The sequence below is a fragment of the Homo sapiens genome, chromosome 2, assembly GCF_000001405.40.
Source record: "Homo sapiens chromosome 2, GRCh38.p14 Primary Assembly".
Taxonomy (NCBI): Eukaryota; Metazoa; Chordata; class Mammalia; order Primates; family Hominidae; genus Homo; species Homo sapiens.
The window spans coordinates 200408358-200428908 of record NC_000002.12 but is presented as its reverse complement, the minus strand read 5'-3'; the positions used below and the strand labels follow the sequence as shown (position 1 = coordinate 200428908).

Below are 20551 nucleotides of genomic sequence, written 5' to 3'. Positions count from 1 at the left end.
TAGTTTTGGTGGGAAGGCAGGGGAAGAGACAGCAATGAATGAATTCTAGAAATACATGGAAATGAAAACCAACAGGAAATGGGGATAGACTGGAAATGGGGAGTGAGAAAGAGGGAGATGTCATGACTGATGACTAGATTTCTGGTTTGCACAATTGGATAGGTGGTGCACTAGGATCGGGAACACTAAAAGAGAGCCACGACTGGGAAGGGAGATGATGAGTTTGTTTTGAGCATGTTGTTGAAGTGCTTTGAAATATCAAGGTGAAAAAGTCAAAGAAGAGTCTGGAGTTCAGAGTGTAGCCAGAACTAGGAAGATGAGTTTGTGAGTCATCTTACATAATTAAAGCTAGAGTATGGCTGAAATAATCTAAGGACAGTGTGTAGCTTTATATGATGAAGGACCTGAGATCAAACAAGCCCTAGGGAGCTTCAGCAATTTAACAGCCAGGTAAGGAAGAATGACCTCCAAAGGGAACAGAGAGGAAGCAGTAAAGACAGAGGGACACAATCAGGAGAGTGTCATGTCATAGAAACCACAGGGAAACGATAGAGTTAAGGATAGGGTGGTTAACAATGCTGAATACTGCTAAAGGGAAAAAATAAAGATTAAAAAACAATGGCTAGATTCAATAATATGGAGGCCATTGCTAAACTTACCTATAACAGCTTACCTAGAGCAGTTTATTTGGAGAGATGGGGCTGAAAGCCGTAACAATGAGGTGATGAGTGAGAGGGAGGTGAAGAGTGGAGACAGGGAGTAAAGGTAACTCTCTGAAGATGTTACAGAATAATGGTCTAGTGATGAAGCCTCAAGAAAACTCCTTTTTTTTTTTGTTTTTGAGACACGGTCTCGCTGTCACCCAGGCTGGAGTGCAATGGTGTGATCACGGCTCACTGTGGCCTCGACCCCCAGCTCAAGTGATCCTCCCACCTCAGCCTCCCAAGCAGCTGGGACTACAGGCATTTGCTACCCTGCTCAGCTAATTTTTGTATTTTTTGTAGAGATGGGGTTTGCCATGTTGCCCAGGCTAAGAAAACCATTCTCTCATAATTATTATATACTTTGATTTGCAAGTTTCATCATTCTTCTATCTTTACATGACAGGGTAATAAACAAAAATTTGGGGAAACAATAACTTTGGAACAGAGACCAAAATAGACAGGTTTATGCAGCAGACACAATGTCAGTTCTGCCTTCTCATAATGTCTTTATCAAATACAGATATACTTTATTATTTCATTCAAATCCTATGAAGCTTGATGAGCTCAGAGGGCATAAAGGTGGTAACTTTCTGACTGGAATAACATCTTTAGTTTTATTTACATTCACTGTCTTTACAAGATCTTATATGTCATTAATACCTTAATAGGTTTAATATATATGTATATTATTATATATAATAATACATGTATATTTTATATATGTATATGCATGTTATATATGTATATGTATGTAATATATATGTATATGTATAACTTGATTTTTTCCACTGTCTTATTTCTCTGCAAAACAGGTTTAATTCTTATTGCATTAAAAAAAAGTTTTTAATTTTTAATTTTTGTGGGTACATAGTAGGTTTATATATTTATGGGGTGCTTGAGATATTTTGATATAGGTATACAATGCATAATAATCACATCAGAGGAAACAGAGTTTCCATCTTATTGCATTTTAATAGAAACAGTTAAATCTTTGTTCAAAAATCTTAAGAAAAATTTTTGAAAGCCTTTTGATCTTTGTAAGTGGTACATTCCATTTAATTAAGTCCATTTGTAACTGAAATCACCATAACAAGGAGTGGGTGGGAAGTTATAAAGGTATCAGCTATTCAGAGATGAGTAGTTTTGTGTTTTTGCTGTACAGTTGCAGCAAAAACACTCTTGAATGAGAAAGAGAAGAGAGCCCAGGTGACCGAAAAATACCTGAGGGGTTTTATGTTTCCTGTGCCCTCCTATCACTACATCCTGTGTCTGTCTCTTTCTGCTTTATCATACATAAAGAAAGGAAGCAGAGCTCTAAGTCACTGCAAATGCAATCTAAGATACCAAGTTACTTGAAGCTGAGGTTGAGACTGAGAAAAACACAACTGTAAATGGGAATTAATACCAAGTATTTAAATTAAAGATGAATGAGAATAGTAATTATGTGCTTTAAAATATAAACTTTATTTTTATTTTTTGAGGCGGGGTCTTGCTTCATTGCGCAGGCTGGGGTACAGTGGTGTGATCATGGCTTACTGCAGCCTTGACCTCCTGGGCTCAAGTGATCCTCTCACCTCAGCCCCACAAGTAGCTGGGAGTATAGGCATGGGCCACCACACCCTGCTAATTTTTAAGTTTTTTTAGAGCCAACTCTCACAATGTTGCCCAGCCTGGTCTTGAATTCCTGGGCTCAAGTGATCCTCCTGCCTTGGCCTCCCAAAGTGCTGGGATTATAGGCATGAGCCACTGTGCCTGACCAAAATATAAACTTCAAAAATGCATGCTCATATGATAGTACTTAACATCAGTTATATATATGTTAATAGAGTATTAGATCTTTAATAACAAAAAATAGTAAAGGCCGAGGTGGGCAGATCACAAGGTCAGGAGATTGAGACCATCCTGGCTAACACAGTGAAACCCCATCTCTACTCAAAGCACAAAATATTAGCTGGGTATGGTGGCATGCGCCTGTAGTCCCAGCTACTTGGGAGGCTGAGGCAGGAGAATCGCTTGAACCCAGGAGATGGAGGTTGCAGTGAGCTGAGATCGCGCCACTGCACTCCAGCCTGGGTAACACAGTGAGACTCCATCTCAAAAAAAAAAAAAAAAAAAAAAAAAAGTAAAAACCTATGGTTATAATTCTATAAGGGCTTCAGCTAAGGTACTTAATAAAAGTTTAGATAAAACACTGGCTGTTCAGACCACTGTAAGTTGGCATGAGAGAGCCTGAATTGAAGCACTGGGATCTTAGCTTCAATGTCTCCAGACACTTACGTCACAGTGGGACCTTCTATGGAATTGCTGCATACACGCACTCTCCAGCTGCCCTTCTACATGCTGCCTTTATAACATTTATTACACTCTAGAATTATGTTGGTAACTCAGTTGTATTCTGGTTTATTATCTACCTCTTCTCCCCATCCCCCGCGACCCCAAAGAACGTAAACTCCCCAAGAGCAAAACCTTTGTTGTCTTGTCCGCTTCCTGTAGAAGAATTCCTGACACATGTTGGATGATTAAAAATATTTACTCAATGGATAAATGAATGATAAGAGGGTTTACCCGATTCCAGATGCTGAGCTAATCACTTTATATATCTCATTTACTGCTCACCACAATATTGTAAAGTGGACGAATGTTCTTTATTTTGCAGATGAGGAAAGTGAGATGCAGAGTGGTTAACCTGTCCAGGGTCACACACCTCATAAGTGATGAGGCCAAGATTTGAAACCAAACATGTCTAACGCTAAAGCCCGGGTTCTTAGCTGTGATATTGTATTGCTTCCATTTGAGAGCTGGCACCGCTGAAATCCTAGATACACACATTTGACTTTTACTATTAAAGTTCTAAGCTGGCTGCTTTCTTTTTGTTGATCTTTGCTAATCCTCTGTCCAATATAGGGCTTAGAGAAGCAGGGGAGGTAATCTTGAGGCCAGGACCAACAGCAACATAAAAAAATCTGCTTGAACAACCTGTGGGGAACCGCCTACCACAATGATACTGTGAAATGGTGGTGAGGTGTTTTTGTTGTTGTTTGTTACAGGAAGCACAAATGGCGGGGGGGGGGGGGGGCGGGGGGAACTAACATTCTAAAGGCACAGGAGCCTTTCTCTCACATTTGGTTCAGTTCACTTGAGGATGAGAAAGCAGCTCTGCGCAGGTGCTGCGCCCAAGCACAGAATCTGCATTGCTAAGGTAAAAACGACAGGGCTGTTCCTGCTTTGTGGTACAGGGCAGGCTGTACAGTCCAGCTCGTGAAGGTCAGCAAGCATGGCATGGAGCCTTCTGTTCCAAGGAACAGGGACCGAAGACTTGGTTTCCCAGGATGCTTTACACGAGGAGGCAACATAAAGGCCGGCTGCTGGGTCAGCAACAGGAGCTCAAGAGAGGGAAAGCCCTGCCCCAGTTTATCTCTGGGAAGCTGCTGATGGCCCACAGTCCTGCTCCTGGAATTCCTATTCAATGGGAATTGTGTCCAGTGGGGTAAAGACAAGAGAGGAATCTGAATTCCTATTCTGGCCTAAGTGGAGACAAGTAAATGCTATACATTTTAGCTTATGAGCCTCAGGAAGCATAGGGCAGGAGGAACATTTGGGAAAATTAGACCCTAAGGTCAACATGTGCTTTAGACATTTAGATAGGGTCTTAGAAAAAAGTATTATCCTTGGCACTACTTTTAGTAAAATAATTTTGTTTGTTTGTTTTTGTTTTTGTGATAGGGATTTGCCCTGTACCCCAGGCTAGAGTGCAGTGGCACAATCATAGCTCACTGCAGCCTCAAACTCCTGGGCTCAAAGGATTTTCCCACCTCAACCTCCCAAGCAGCTGGGACTACAGGTATGAGCCACCGTACCAAGCTAATTTTTCTTTTTTTTTTAAAGAGATAAGAGCTCGCTATGTTGCCCAGGCTGGTCTCAAACTCCTGGCCTCAAGTAATCTTCCCACCTCAGCCTCTGAAAGTGCTGGGATTACAGGTGTGAGCCACTGTGCCCGCTCGGCAAAAATAAATCTTGATCTACTCTTTGCCTGATTTTGTATTTGAGCCCAGGATGATTTTGATTGGATTATGTAAAAGATCCAATTTGAGCTGTTATTAAAAATTCTGAGATACAGAAAAAAACTACTCTCAGGCTTAAAACATACTCCTAAACTTCTAAACGATCTGCTGACACACAGCATTGTCCCACTTGACAGTGCTATATTTACAGCCTGAAATGATGATGCTTTTGGTGGTGATTTTTCATGTAGGAAGTCACACTAACACCCCTGAGCCACCTGCATATATCTTAAAGCTAACTTTTCCCCTACCAAAAAATGATTCTGTTTAAGACTTTTAAAAAGAGAGATCCTGAATGTCAAGGTGTTATAAAAAGATAAAACACGCATCCCACATGTTCACAGCCTCCTGCCCAGTGGGGCATTCAGGGCAGGCTTTGTTGAGCTAGTTTCATTATTGGAGGGCTTGATAAATGCTCCACTATAGTAGCCTGGCGATTTCTTTTAGGCTTATGCTGTGAACTCACTCAAGCACAGAATATCATTATGTGGCTTTGTTATTGTGACTTTTTTCTAATTTTTCAATTACACATTTTTTTTTAGGAGTTAGGTAACCCATGGTTTTAGCAGTAACTCTCCATTACCTGATAAAATTACATGGATTTGAGTCAGCCTTTTGCAAACTACAGAGAGTTCAAGAGGGTTATCCTCTGAACTTCTCAATCCAGGAGCCTTGGTTTCTTCAGTTATAAAGTGGGGAGCCAGGATTAAAGTTTCACTCTCATCCTCTCTAGTTCCAACATTCTACTCAAAATGGGGTACAGAGTGTCTACAGCTTAACACTCATCTGCAGAATACCTGTTAGAGCTCTTGCGATTGCCAGTAGATTGAGCAAGCATTTTAAAGCCATTAGATAGTTTTGCCATCAACTTTCTGATGAACCTTCATAATTTGAAGGCAGGAAAATCTAACTACAATAGTCCTCCCATATTCACAGTTTCAGTAACCCATGGTCAACTGCGGTCCAAACATAGCAAACAGAAAATTCCAGAAATAAACAACTCATTAAGTTTTCAGTTTCATACTGTTCTGAGTAATGTGATGAAATCTTGTGCCATCTCACTCTGTCCTACCCAGGATGTGGTCATGCCTTCGTCCAGAGTATCCATGCCATATACGATACCTGCCCACTCGTCACTTTAGTGGCTGTCTTGGTGATCAGAGTGAGTGTCATCGCATCTCATCATGCAGGCATTTTATCATCTCACATCATCACAGTAAGGATGTTTATAGTGCAATAAGATATTTTGAGAGAGAGAGAGCAAGAAAGAGGCCAGTATATTGCTATAATTGTTCTATTTATTATTGGTTATTTTTAATCTCTTATTGTGCCTAATTTATAAATTAAACTTTAGCATAGTATAGTATAGTACAGGAAAAAAACAGTGTACGTGATTTCAGGCATCCACTAGGGGTCCTGGAACCTATCTTCCAAGGAAAAGGGCAGATTACTATAGCTAAAAACTCATTTTAAAATTTATAATCATAACAAATGGGCTGCTAACGAAATTAAGGGCCAATAAGGAGAATTTGCTTCCTTTTGCAAGAACATCTACTAACCTTCCATTACCATCATTTCTTCTTCCTCCCCCTTTTTTTTTTTTTTTGAGGAGTCTTACTCACTCTGCTGTCCAGGCTGGAGTGCAGTGGCACGATCACAGTTCACTGAAGCCTCAACCTCCTGGGCTCAGGTGATTCTCCCACCTCAGCCTCCCAGGTAGCTGGGAGTACAGGCATGCACCACCAGGCCCAGCTAATTTTTGTATTATTTGTAGAGATGGGGTTTTGCCATGTTGCCCAGGCTGGTCTTGGACTGCTGGGCTCAAACAATCCTCCCGCCTCAGCCTCCCAAAGCGCTGGGATGACAAGTGTGAGTCACCAAGCCTGGCTCATTTACTCTTTAACAGAAAAATTTATTGCACAGACATTTGTAATGAATCAGTAACATTAACAAATAATACCAACACACCTCAATGCCTTCATGCTATACTTAAAAAACAGAAGGGAGAATGGGATCACTGTGCAAGAAATAATTCTTCACAGAAAGTTTCATGTGAGGGTTTCCAAAAGCCCCCTTGTACCCATTCCCCTGGTGGGTACTTAACTTTCAAGGCAGCTGTCCACTGGGAAGGGAGGCACTTCTATATTGCATTTGCTTTAATGTCATATACTTGACAGAGTTACTGACATTGTTTTATAAAGAAGGTATAAATTATAAGTAAATGAAAAAATATATATGCTAAGCTTTTAGTCTATGATTGATATCAAAATGGCAACTTGAGTAATTGGATTTTGAAAGTAATTCATGTGAAAGCAATAACAAGTTGGGAATCTGCCACTCGATTATTTAATTTCTTTCTCTTGCTCTGACTATAAATCAAAACAGTCTCAAAATTGTAGGCACAGTGAAAATTGAATTAAAAAAATTTCTGGAGAATTCAGATTCAAAATGAAATAGGTTATTTTTGTTGTTGTCATTGTTCGGTTTTAGGAAACCATCATGAAGTGAGTAAGGATGACATGAGTTTCAGCACTATTAGTGGAGTTGTTAGGAAATGTGTTTCTGGAAGAAAATTTGTGCTTTGTGAGCAATTTAAGAACTTACTAGTGTATTACAGAGTGTGCCAGTTATTTAATGCCTTCTCACTGCCACCCTGATTTGGTACATGTCACCATTTGCTTTTCTGTTTGCACCTCCATCTCTTCTGGTAGTCTAAACTTTTCTTAGGCATGGATGTGTCTTACTCATCTTTGGTTTGTCAGAGAATAGCAGTGTGTCATATATAGCAGGTGTGCAATACCTGAGGGCACTCAGTAAAGTTCTCTTTACTTCTCTCTAACCCTCCAAATCCTTTTTACCACCTCAGTTCTATTGGTCCTTCAATACCCAATGCTCCCAGGAAATCTCCCAGGAGCACTCAGTCGGATACTGCACCTCTCTTCCCCAAACCTTAAACTCACCAGTGAACCTATAGCCTTCTCTTCAAGGATATCAGAATGTGATTCCATCAGGGCCTAGACCATATCATATCCTTCTCTGAATCTACTGTGGCATCTAGCACAGTGCTCTGAATATAACGGGAGTTTAAAACGCCACTGATTCTACAAACTCATGATTTTATAACTAGAAGGACTTTGGGGGTCAACTAGTGTAGTGATTCTCATCAAAGGATCTACCACCTTTTAGGAGGCATTCTGAAAAACTGAGCGGGCATTTTTAAAAATTAGCAAAATGATTGTGTGTGTGTGTGTTGGCGGTGGGGTTGGGGGGCAGGATGCTAGATGACTTGCAATCCTGGGAATGTCATACACAACAAAGAATTAATCTGTGTCCTGAACTTTCTCATGTTCCCCTGGACATTCATGATTTTAAAAAAATATATATATAATTATGTGAGTCTAGACAGTTTTACTACGGATTTACAACATTTGTTTGGATTTCCAAGATTCAACTATTGCATAAATTAAAGGAAGATGGTACTTTATGATGTTTAGAACTTGACTAAGAATTTTTGGCCATGTGGAAAACCACATCAGCAGCCATGATATTAGAGCTGACACCCATTACCCTAAATTGGACTGCATTTGTAGCAGGTGCATTCACAGTGATTCCATGTTATATACAAATATACGTATTGAGCTCTTACTGTACATGTCAAATGTAAAACAGTATCCACAATATCCAGCTGACTACTGCCTTACTTCATTTAATTGCAAAGTGATTCATTATAAGTGGGTGTAAAAATCTGGCCTCTTTATTGAGCCTTCTATTTTAGTTTTTCCTGAATGTCTTATATTTTTATTTATTGAAATTCTGTTTCTAGGTAGGTTATATTATGCATGAGATTTATTTTAACATTTGTTCTAAAAATGGGGCATTGGGTCAGATAGTATTGAGAAGCACTGATCTAGTAGATTCCAATGCAGTTTCCTTATTTTTCAGAAAGGAAATGGGACCCTAGAGTAGATGATGTGCCCAAAGTCAAACAGTGGATTAGGAAGTGGCCTTTTGAAGAGTAATAAATATATAGCTATAGCACAAATAATTAATGTTCCAGATTCTAACACCCTGGAAGATTATGTTCTGTCACATCATATAAAAAATACCAGCAGTTAAAATAATTTGGTCTGCCCTTTCTAAAGAAAACATTGAATAACATTTCTTTTTGTCATCAACTATTCCTTCATTACCCCAGGTGAATTCTAGCAAATGTGTCTATATAGAATATTTCTTTAAACTGGAATTTCCATTAAAAAAGACCTCTGACTGGCTAAGTGTGGTGGCTCATGTCTGTAATCCCAGCACTTTGGGATGCCAAGGCAGGATTGCTTGAGTCCAGGAGTTCAAGACTGCAGCTGCAGTGAGCTATGACCACACCACTGCACTCTAGCCTTGCACAGCAAGACCCAGACTCAAAAAAAAAAAAAAAAAAATCCTCTGACTTGGTGTAGAGCTAGATTGAGCATTTATTCTCTGCCCTGTTACATTCCCCTTCACCCCCAATCCTGGCTTCAGGAAGGCTGAATCGTACACACTGCAGAAAAACAACCTTCCATTTTCAACAACATCAACAGCAGCCCCAATGAGCTCCCTTTGTGCTCTTTTCATCTATGCCTTCCTAAGCAATTTTACTTAAGCATTACTGACCTGTGACCCCACGAAGTGCCTTTGAAGGTTCCTCAAGTATCGAGATCTTTTTCTCACGAGGGATAAGGGCTGGTTTTTCGTTAGCAGAATCTGTGGACGAGCTGTCCTTCTCGCAGCCATTCATGGGGCCGTTTTGAATCTGTGGTGGCTGCGGCTGCAGGGGCCCTGCCTCAGGCCTCTCCACCTTGTCTTTAGCATCTTTGTTGCCTTGATGCTGCTTGGACTTGCTTCTTTTTCTTTTATTGTTCTAGAATGAGAAACAAATGAGAACATAATATTCAACTCAGACTCTTGAAATATAAGGTGAATCTGAGAGATGAAAATAAGATATGCTATCTTTTTTGGTTCCTGGCTCTTCTTATAGACTGGATGAAGAATATTTACATCTTTATTAACCACCCAAGTTAATTTAAGTATCTTCTTTCTTATAGTAAGTTGTATAAACTTTCACCTCATAAACACAATAAAAAAGGTTCCAATAAAAGGAAGAAAAAAACAACAAGGAATGGCTTAAATAGCTGACATATTATTTGAGCAACTTGAGGTTCTATAGTAAAATCTGGTGATAACCATCCTGAAAAAATTTGATTTCAGTTATCCTGCCACTGGGGAGTAGCTCTCATCTCAAAGTGGTGAATGCTGGGGAGGCAAGGAGGCCACTAAGGTTCCCATCTGCTCGGCAGAAGGAGAGGTAAAGGGGAGGACTACTAGGGAAAAGGCAGGCAACTTCTTCTTGTAAAATGAGGACACAGAAGGTAGGTCCTTAAAATTCAGGTTGGGTCTCTGAAATAGAAACCAGTCAACAAGGAGATTCCTGGAATTGCTGTCATTGTCTAGGAAGTCCCAGGTAGCCACAGGATCCATAATCATCCCCATGATTATTTATTTATTTATTTATTTATTTATTTATTTATTATTTAATAAGGTCTCACTCTGGCTCTGTCGCCCAGGCTGGAATGCAGTTGTGTGATCACAGCTCACTGCAGCTTCAACCCCCTGGGCATAAGCGATCCTCCCACCTCAGCCTTCTGAGTAGCTGTTACTACAGGCATGCACCACCACATGCAGCTATTTTTTAAAATGTTTTGTAGATACAGGGTCTCCCTATGTTGCTCAAGCTGGTCTCAAACTTCTGGGCTCAAGTGATTCTCTTGCCTCTGCCTCCCAAAGTGCTGAGATTACAGGCACAAGCCACTGCGCCCTGCCATCCCATGAATATTTCAGCTGGAGCAGACAACAGCTTCAAGGTAATGCCAAAGTGATATAAGTCCCCCTTTTCCGGTGAGAAAGCCCCTGGACCTCTCGGCTGCTAGCTGAACAGCATTACAAGGCTTCATTTTATTTCCTTTGAAATAAAACCACCCTGCATTTTATACAATTGAAATTGTTTAGACCCCCCAATATCACAAGAGTCTAAAATGCGGAGTTTTACTATATCTCTCTTAAAATGCTCTAATGGTGAATACATGAGAATATCAAGAAAATTAAGAAGCTGTTGTTCCTAATTATGTTATATGTTTGACTTGATGTTGCTTTGTACCCAGTTGATACTCAGTGTACTCAACAAGCAGTATGGTACCAGCCCCGGCCAATCAGAACAGACGCCGACCCATAAGAAAGACCCTGTCCCACCTGCTGAATGAGTGCGTGCCAGCTGAACATCAGCGTGGCTTCGTTCTTCAACACATTTACAAAAGAAGTAAAAATAAACAGTTTTTTCTTCTCAATTCTCCTCCCTGCTTTTTTCCTTTGGAACCACAATCATGCCCCAGTAAGTGCTTTCCTAGGTGAGAGGTGTGTGTCCCAGGTTGAAGGCAAGGCCAGTGGCACTTATTCCCACAAAACACCCACAGCAGCTTCTGGCTCTCAAGCCTCACATCTACTTGGCTGGGAGACCATTTTCCTTTTCAACCTCCAGGAGGAAGACTCAGTAATGAGTTGGGTCTGCAGCTGCTGTCTGCTCTTTTTTTCACATCAGAAAAATCTAATACCCAAACCACACATTTGAAATTTTTCTATGTAAGTCTAAATACTGCCTTTCAATCACTTGCAAATCATGTTCATCTCACACAGAGGCCTGGGAAGCTATGATTAAAGACAAGCAGAGATTGTCAAAGATGGTGGCATACAAAGGTTAAAAAAAAAACTCATAATTTTCCTACTCTACATGAAACTAGGAGGAGAAAAACGGAAAGGATGATTCCTGTAATTTCAGTAATCTTCGGGTTTTATGAAAGTAATACTGTGTTATTGTTTGTTCAGAACCTGTTTTGCAGGCCTGTGATCTTCCCCCACTGGGAAGGGTAGACTGGCGTACTATATCCTGGGAAATCCGAAACACAAGGCCTTGCTGTGTCATAGCAGGAATGAGTGGAACAGTTACTTTGAAAGGAGCGGCACACTTTTGCTAGTGTGTATGCACAGACGCATCTCACGAGCTCCCAGAAATCCCAGGCCCTTTGTGACTCGACAAGAAAGCAAACCAGTTTGAATGGGACACAGTAAAATCCCCTTCCCTTTGTTCTCAAAGAGCAGTACGCCAGTGTTCAAGAAAGCCCCTTACTTACTATGGTTCTAAGGCATTTTCTTTTCTTCTTCTTTTATTAATGATCTACCTTAGAATTCGGCCAAAAAGCATCTCAGGGCAGCCTTGGACAGATTCTTTCAGGTGGAAAAACATGTGAAAATATATTTAGAAGTTTTCAAGTATCTTTAAAATACTCCTTAATTTTTTTCTTTGTGCTACAGGATACGTTCAGGCAAGTTAATGTTTTGAATCCTTTGAATTCTCCAGCTGGGCTCCCCTTTATACTTAAAAAAGAGAACAACTCTGGGACTTCTTAAGCACACCTGGTTGTTAAAAACACTGAGTAGAAAATAAGGGCATTACTAGTGAGAGTATCTGAGAGTATCTGCTAATTTCCGAGAGTCATGAATTTGGAAGCTTTCTGGGTGTATATATTAACATACTTGAAAGAAGCAAAAAATTGGCAGCCTTGTTAAAATGATAACAACCATGAAGGTTTTGATTGAAGATGTTACCAATTTACAATCAATATTAATCTTACCTTCTTTTTTCCTGTCATATTCCATTCTTTTAGAACTTGAATTGCACTGCCTAGATAAAGACAAAGAATCTTCAACAAATATTCACATCATAAAACACCACACAAAATTCATCTCTGTCTTTCCATCTTGGTAGCAGCTTTTTTTTTTTTTTTTTGGCTTTTTCATTTGTTTTGATACATCCTATCTTAATAAAAATGCCAGTTTCATTTTTTATTTCCCAGATTTTCATTTAATTCACTGTATGATCTTGGTTTTATCAAAATATTAAGCCTCACTACATGAAGCTTACTTTTTTATCATTATATTGTCGTACGGAAAATGAAATATATCTTGAGAATTTTCTAGCAGCTTTGTTGCCATAAGTAGAATTAAAATTATTCTGTTTGATATATGAATAAAAATACCTATAATCTTCTGAACCAAATATGGGATTCTGAATATTATTAACAATGTGAATCACAGCTTTCTGTTTGGCCATTCTTTCTCTTTCTCTGTCCCTATTCATATGTTCACATCTTGCAGGGGGATGAGGAAGACATATTACAATGATATTAGTTTCTCTAGAGTTAGCATGGATAGAGATGGGATGTGGTCTACAAGGCTTCTACCTTGAAACCAAAAAAAGTTCATTAAGTGAAAAGTTGGGCCCCAGGTTCTGTCCATCCCATTCACATATATCGGTAGAACTGCACTGACTCAGAGAAGATACCTAATTAAATTATATTCAAATTATATTAAATTATATATAAATTAAATGCCTAATTAAATTACAAGACATTAAAAAAATGTTTTATCGCTGGCCAGCTGCAATCCATGTTTCTCCATAGTCTAACAAAGTTCATTCATTCATTCCCACTGTGCTGAAGGTGGTTTCAATAACAAGTTATTGGTAATGAGGATATCAGTTGTTTTCAAATAAATAGGCACAGTATTTCTAAAAGAGAGTAGCTCTTTTAAGTATATTCTTTTAACAATTTTAAAAATTCTCATACAATCTAAATATACTAATAGCTCTCTAAAAGGAGTATGTTGGCCAAACAAAGATAAATTTCAGGCTGGTCTTTATAATAAATTTCAAATTAGTAGGGTCCTAATTATTGAGTCTACTGTCACTGTTAGATAAGCAGAAGGCCATATGGCTTTGACTAATGTTTAGACAGGCTAATAATTCCTATCTATTTAAAGTTTCCAACTCAACGCCCCTCTTAGACTTGTCTGAGTTGCATGTACTTGAAATAATAAGACTGCACCTAAAAGTAAGCTATAATTCAGACTTTTTATTAACTGGGTTGGTCTTTCTCTAATTTGTCCAGAGAATTAATGTTTCACAGCATTTTCCTTTAGAAGAAATTTAGAAAGTCCCTTTTGTTAAGTTTCTTGGTAAGTCTTGGTTAATAATAATTAGGGCAGTACTTACTTATAGCTACGCTTCAGTTTTCTAAATAAAACTAAAACTTAAAAATGCTAAATACTGTTCATTTTAATCAGAAAGTGGTGGTGAGTTGCTTATTGCTTTCACAACTGCCATATTCAATTAGTCCTCTAATTTTCATGTTTTGATATACATTCTATTTGTAATTTGGACAATGAGCTTTAGGGACTAATTTTGAAGAAGAAATACCCATATTTACAGAGGATTTTGAAACTGTTATTATTAAATTTTAATTATACTGAAACGGCTTGGAGTTTTTCAGCCACTCAGAGCGCTTTCTGTATGCCTCATAAATGACTCCTAACAAATATTTTTGACTGTCAGTTGTTTGGCTTTTTTTATGGTTTTGGTTTTTTTTTCTTTTTGGAGACGGGGTCTCACACTGTTGCCCAGGCTGGAGTGCAGTGGTGCAAACATGGCTCACTGCAGCCTCGACTTCCTGGGTCCAATCAATCCTCCTGCCTCAGCCTCCAGAGTAGCTGGGACTACAGGCATGTGTCACCACTCTAGACTAATTAAAAACAAAAAATTGTAGAGACAGTGTCTCGCCATGTTGTCCAGGCTGGTCTCAAACTCCTGGCAATCCTTCTGCCTTGACCTCCCAGTATGCTGGGGTTACAGGTATGAGGAACCTGCCTGGCACCCAGTATTTTTAAATCAAGTTTTCCTACTGCTCCCCAACCAAAATGACTTCTCATGAGGCTTCTCAGCAATCAATGAGCTTTATTAATGAGATCTCAACACTGACAAGGTGAAAATTTCAAGAAGGACAAGCAAGGTGCTCTGTTTAAGTACAAACAGATTTGATGACAGTCCATCAGTTACTGTGCATCTGATCAAGATCACTCTGCAATAAAAACTTTCATGATGAGGAACGTGGGGGGCCTCAATCCAAGTGGGGGTAGGGAGGAATGGGGATAATAGCCTTTACCCTTTCCTAAAGCTTTTTTTCCATGCAGGTGATGTTGGCAAGTAAAACCTGAAAAGAGACTGTATCTGATCCAGGATATGCTTATTTCCAAATATTTTTTGAGACAAACTGCACCTAATGCTGCAAAGTTAGATTAATACTGCATTCTCTACTATTTGCTTCTTGTGACTAAAAATTATGTATCTCTTAGTATATGAAGCAGGAAAAAACAGTGAGAAAAGTTATGCACCATGGATTTGCTTATAGGTCTACTGAATGATAATCATTTGCTAATTCAATTAGGACCCTAAACCTTGACTGCTGATATCAGAATGTGAGCATATTGCTTAGTTCCAAGACCTTGCCCTGAAATGCAATTATACTTTTAGAAACTCAAGAAGGTTATTCTACTCCTAGGAAAATAAGTAAATCAAACTGTCCTTGACAAACTGTAAATAGGATACAACTGAGAAATGTGCTGGCAGGTCTTCCTTGACCTTATTTGACAGATTATGTGTAGCTTGCCCATATTTACAAAATAGAAACTAATGCCAGGACAGAAGACATATGATAACTGAGGACAAGTAAGAGATCTTTGTTCAAAACTGGAACTTGTTTAATTTGATTAGAAGAGGATAATTTCCCAAAATTTACAGGAAATCCAAAGCATTACGTTGTAAATTATAGGATAAACGTATTCCTGAGACTTTAGATTTTATAACATCTCTGGCAATGGACTACCTAAACAACAAAATTTTTAAAATAAAGCAAAAAGATTTTAGAGATAGATAAGATAAACTGATATTCTGATTAATTTGGCAATCTAAAAATCATAAACTAAAGATATTAAAGAATAAACCAGTCCTCTTAGACTACATAAGCATCAGGTTTAAGAATTCCAGTCATAAAGCCAAGTAGGATTATGCTGGTTGGAGAAGTGAGAAGACTTTCCAGATAAGGACCAAAATACATTATCCTCCATTCATAAGAATGGTATCAAATAAAGGACACATTTATTTATTTATCTATTGAGACAGGGTCTCAGTCTGTCATCTAGGCTGGAGTGCAATGGTGCGATCTCAGCTCAGTGCAACCTCTGCCTCAGGGGCTCAAGCCATCCTCCCACCTCAGCCTCCAAGAAGCTGGGACTACAGGCGTGCATTACTATGCCTGGCTAATTTATATATATATTTTTTTATAGAGACGGGGTTTCACCATGTTTCCCAGGCTGGTCTCGAACTCCTGGCCTCAAGTGATCTGCCCACCTTCGCCTTCCGAAGTGCTGGGACTACAGGCGTGAGTCACTGCTGGCCAAGGACACATTTAATATTAAATTGGAATGACTGGTAGGCAAGGAAATTAGTAGCACTATTATCAATATCCTTTGAAAACTATCTAGAGTCTTTTTTTCCTTAAATGAGAGATAAAGAACTTCCAAATTCTATTCTTATTGAGTGTGTCTATTTTTTTTTTTTTTTTTGAGATGGGGTCTCACTCTGTCACCTAGGCTAGAGTGCAGTAGCGCAATCATGTGAAACCTCGCACATTTCTATGAGACCTAAAGTACACATAATGAATTGATATTCAGTTCATTTAAGGAAAAAATATGGAATATCTGGAATATTTAAGTCTAACATCTTCAGCTGCAGGGTACAGGTATACCTACCATCCACAAAGGCTTGCACGGCTTTATCCACATTAAAATCAAACTGTTGGAGCACCAGGACTATTTCATTATTGCTTTTGTTGGGAACAACTGATCTAACTGCATAGATCTGTAAAGGAAAAAAAAAAAAAGAAATAGAAATGTGAACACTTTAAATATTTTTCATCTATGAATTGCCCACTGGATAGAATTACAACTATTAGAAAGGCCTTGAAAAGCCAACTAATCTACCTTCTTGTCATCAAGCATACTCAAGGCATTCCAGACCAGTGAAAATTCATCCTGGTAATCACCTTGACACCCACTTTATTTGTGTACACATTTTTACAAAGACCTCCTTGTAGGAGTGTAGGAGCATGTGTGAAAAGCCAACTCTGGTTTTGCAATCTACCCTCCCCCAAGACTACAGATGCATACAAGATGTGTTCTCAGTGAGGACACCAAGTCTTTTTCTGTCTCAGGCTTCCTTTCCACTGGCTCAGGGGGTATCTTTAGAAAATGTACAGAAATAGCCTCATGCCTCAGCTTCTCTATCTGCACAGTGGAAACAGTCATCTTGAGGGTCAACAGAAGTGTGCTGTGAAATTCCATTAATGTTTAAAGATACAAAAATGTGGAGCATTGTATTTTTGAAATGGTAATCTTAGCTATAGTCCAAAAAATGTTTGTGAACACACTTCTGAAAATCAAACATTGAAAATAGTAAATACATATATCCACTAAGGATTTCAATAGGTTAAAGCTTATATTCAACGTTTAATGACATATATGCATTTCCTAGTCAAATTTAGCATATATTCTTTCTTCTTGACTATTAGAATTAATTGACCTTTATCTCACAGTACTTGCAATAACTACAGAATGTTCTATTGATTTTAGTAAAACCTGGTTCACCCAGTTTTCTATCACAGGGATTACTGCAGCTGCTACTGAGAATACTAGAGTACTGCATGGTGCAAAGGTAAGTGATCATTAAAGCACTGTACGGTCTTCAAATGTTTTCATCAGCATTTAAATTATGATCAGTGGGTTTTAGAGTTAAATGCAGTTTAGTATAATTGGATTCACAGAATATGGATTAAATGGGTATGGTATGTGTAATGTGATGCTATTGACCAGAACATTTCATTGAACAAGATGGCCTATTTCCTGATTATGTTAGAAAACAGATCACCTATTCCATACAGATCTGCATGTAAGAGTATTTAGGTTGTAATGAGACAACAGCACAAGCTACTGTCATGTACCCACCCAGCACAAGCCATGGGTGGGTATATGACTTGTAAAGGTGCTGACACTATAGATTAGAAAGGTGGTTTTGAATCTTGACATTTTATAAGTGCTAAATATTTGAGTTTTACTGAGGACTCTAATATTATATATATATGTATATATATATATATATGTATGTGTGTGAGTCACACACATACAAATTGATTTTCTATTCTCACATTTCATTGTTCTTAGTTTTTCTGGCATCCATTAAAACAAATTAACGTCTTCAAATCTAAGTTCTTTCTTACTTCTCTGTGTCATCTTTAAAAATCCAATTCTGTGAATATTTTTTGAATACCTATTATCTGACAAGCAATCAAACTTCCTGGAACTTAGAGACCAGAGGAGGATTTACACATTGACCAAATGATTGCACAAATATATGCTTATACATTCCACTTAAGTGGTATAAAATCATATGACAGGGAGACTTGACTTATATGACTTTATCCACTGAGACCTGGATGGAGGATGAGTGAGAAGAGATGGGTGGGAGGGGAAGGGGAAAAGCATTTTGGGCATAGAGAACAGCATGAGTGAGGGGCAAGGCATGGATGAGAAGGGAGGAGTTGGACATGATTAGGGAGGGAGGCAGAGGGTAGGCTTCTAGAGTACAAGAGGAAGCCAGAACTGGGCAGGGACCAGATCGTACAGGGCCTACAAGGCTGTGCAAAGGATTTTGATCCTGTGAGCAACCCTCAACTATCCTTTTGATGAGCTGGGTTTTTTTTTGTTGTTTTGTTTTGTTTTGTTTTTGAGAGAGGTTAAGATGGGGAGGAAGAAAAACACAAAAAAATCCCTCCATCCAGCCCAGGAAGGTCATTAACAGAATGTGTTCAACAATACACATTATTTGCCTCATTGTTACCAGTGCACTGGAATTATACCTAAAGATTATGTTACCCTTCCAATATAGCTCTTTTAAATCTAGCATTTATTTCAAGCCACTATGGGTTCATATTACATAAAATTTCTTAATCATCACCATCATTATTACCACATCAGGCACACCTAAATAATATAATTAATATAATATTAATTATACTAAGTACATTATAGTTATATTAGACAAAGGTTTTCAATCCACCTACACAGCTGTGTGAACTGCAAAGACCCAGAATTATGGAATAAACATAAAATAATGGCTTTCTCTGCCTCCAGTCTCTCCCCTGCAAAACACAATGTTGTATTATGTTAAGGCAAAACACAAAATAAACCACTACTTGTGGAGATACTTCCTTTTTAGATGTTTATACTACTCTTGCCTATCCTTCTTCAAAAGAAAAAAACACATGGTAAGATGTGCACAGAAAACATTTTCTATCCTTGTCATTTTGTATATCCTAGCACTGACTGTATCCTTAGAAAATTGTCAATAACTGAGTTTTGATATCAAATCTAACTGAATATCAGATACAATTCCTGGAGGAAGACATTTAATTAGGACAGGTATTCCAAGTTTTACAGAAAAAGGGGAAAAAAATAGTTTCTGCTTATACTTGGATATTACATAGTAATGTTGAATTCTAGTAAATTTCTGGGCCAACCTCTGTTTCTGCTTTAATCACTTGGCTTGGCGAATGTGGAGACAGCGGCATTGTTTCTCAGCCTGTTATTTATAAATTCACTATGTTTATTTTCCTATGGAAATGTCTTTGAGAAAGATGGAGAAATTGTGTGAACTCACATGTGCACATAAAAATAAAGGAACCTCACTGTGTCACTCCTCATAATTCAGTGGTATCAAAAAGGGTTTAAGCATCTTAATCTAAAAAAAAAAGCCCTCATTATGCAGAGCTTTAAATATAAGGCATGGATGACCAAGGAAGAGTTATAGTGAGGTTGTGCTGAAAGGCTTGCCTTTGCAGTTGGAAACCAAGCTTCTGAGGACGGATGCTCCTGGAAGGAATGGATCAATCAATGCGTGACTAATAGTAGTTTGCATACGGAGAACTCATAAAATTCACGCCCGCAGCGGCTGTTTTGCAGAGGCTGTTTCTGGCGCAGCTTCACACAGCCTTTTACTTCATTGCCACAGCCCAGGCTAACACCTAAGCCACCGTTTGAAGCTGCACTTGACTGCCCCGCTAAAGGACTCTCATGCCATAAACAAAGTGGTCCCACCAGGCGGCCGCTGTTGGGTGACAGTCAAGATGGCTAGTTAGCGGTTCATTTAGCAACTGCTTTACCTTCCCAAAATTATGTTCCCGTATTTTGCTTCTGCTAATTTCACTCTGGTTTGGCAAAGTCCATGTGCTATCTAGAAACAGCATGATGTTTTGATGCCCCCTCTTGAGTGTTTTAGTCATGATCCTCTCCTCTCTCTGGGGCTTCCCTATCTGACTCCGCAGGCTCTGCCCCATGGCGCCTCAGGCCCGCCCTGCTGGCCTTTTGCTTGCACTAACTGGGCAGTGAGGCAGTGTGACTTTCATGGACGTTGTTTGGTTTCAGTTTCCCAAACTAACTTGCCTTCTCTGCACCTGAGCTGTCTGGTTAAGAGCCGTTAACAGATTTCCTCATTCATACTGTGCATCTTTTGAGCCTGTCTGTGATGACCCTTAGAAATTCTTCTTGGCTTCCTGATGAGTCACTTAAACTATGTCTGAGTTTCCAAAGTGGCTCTGACCAAAGTTTTCAATCCACCCACACAGCTGTGTGATCAGCAAAGACCCGGCATTATCAAATAAACATAAAATAACTGTTCTCTCTGCTTCCAGTCTCTCCCCTGCAATTCAGTCCCAGGCAGCTGCTCTTCCTGGAGTATATTCGTGACCATTTTACCCTCTT

The 20551-nt window shown here is 39.0% G+C and overlaps 1 protein-coding gene and 1 long non-coding RNA gene across 18 annotated transcripts in view, besides 1 other annotated feature; one reads left to right on the top strand and one right to left on the bottom strand.

Moving 5' to 3' along the window:
- SPATS2L (spermatogenesis associated serine rich 2 like) overlaps positions 1–20551 on the bottom strand; it is a 176386-nt gene that overhangs the window by 53356 nt on the left and 102479 nt on the right. For all 15 annotated transcript variants that reach the window (NM_015535.3, XM_024452788.2, NM_001282735.1 and 12 more), the window contains 3 exons: positions 16490–16598; positions 12481–12530; positions 9413–9659 (listed from right to left, as the gene is read on the bottom strand). In NM_015535.3, coding sequence (NP_056350.2) covers positions 9413–9659; positions 12481–12530; positions 16490–16598 — 406 coding nt within the window. The remainder of the gene's footprint in view (positions 1–9412; positions 9660–12480; positions 12531–16489; positions 16599–20551) is intronic.
- Positions 1–20551, top strand: part of LOC101927741 (uncharacterized) — an 81319-nt gene that overhangs the window by 49065 nt on the left and 11703 nt on the right. For 2 of the 3 annotated variants that reach the window (XR_001739167.2, XR_001739165.3), the window contains 2 exons: positions 4428–4545; positions 5842–6033. This is a non-coding gene — a long non-coding RNA (uncharacterized LOC101927741). Of the gene's footprint in view, positions 1–4427; positions 4546–5841; positions 6034–17400; positions 17451–20551 lie in introns of those variants that run through there. The other variant, XR_007088047.1, reaches the window with a different exon arrangement.
- Positions 5075–5124: an enhancer, noted in NCBI's record as "active region_16958". NCBI's record gives its function as "activates an Ori minimal core promoter by ATAC-STARR-seq in GM12878 lymphoblastoid cells {active_cell/tissue: GM12878}" and the evidence as "EXISTENCE:reporter gene assay evidence [ECO:0000049][PMID:35858748]".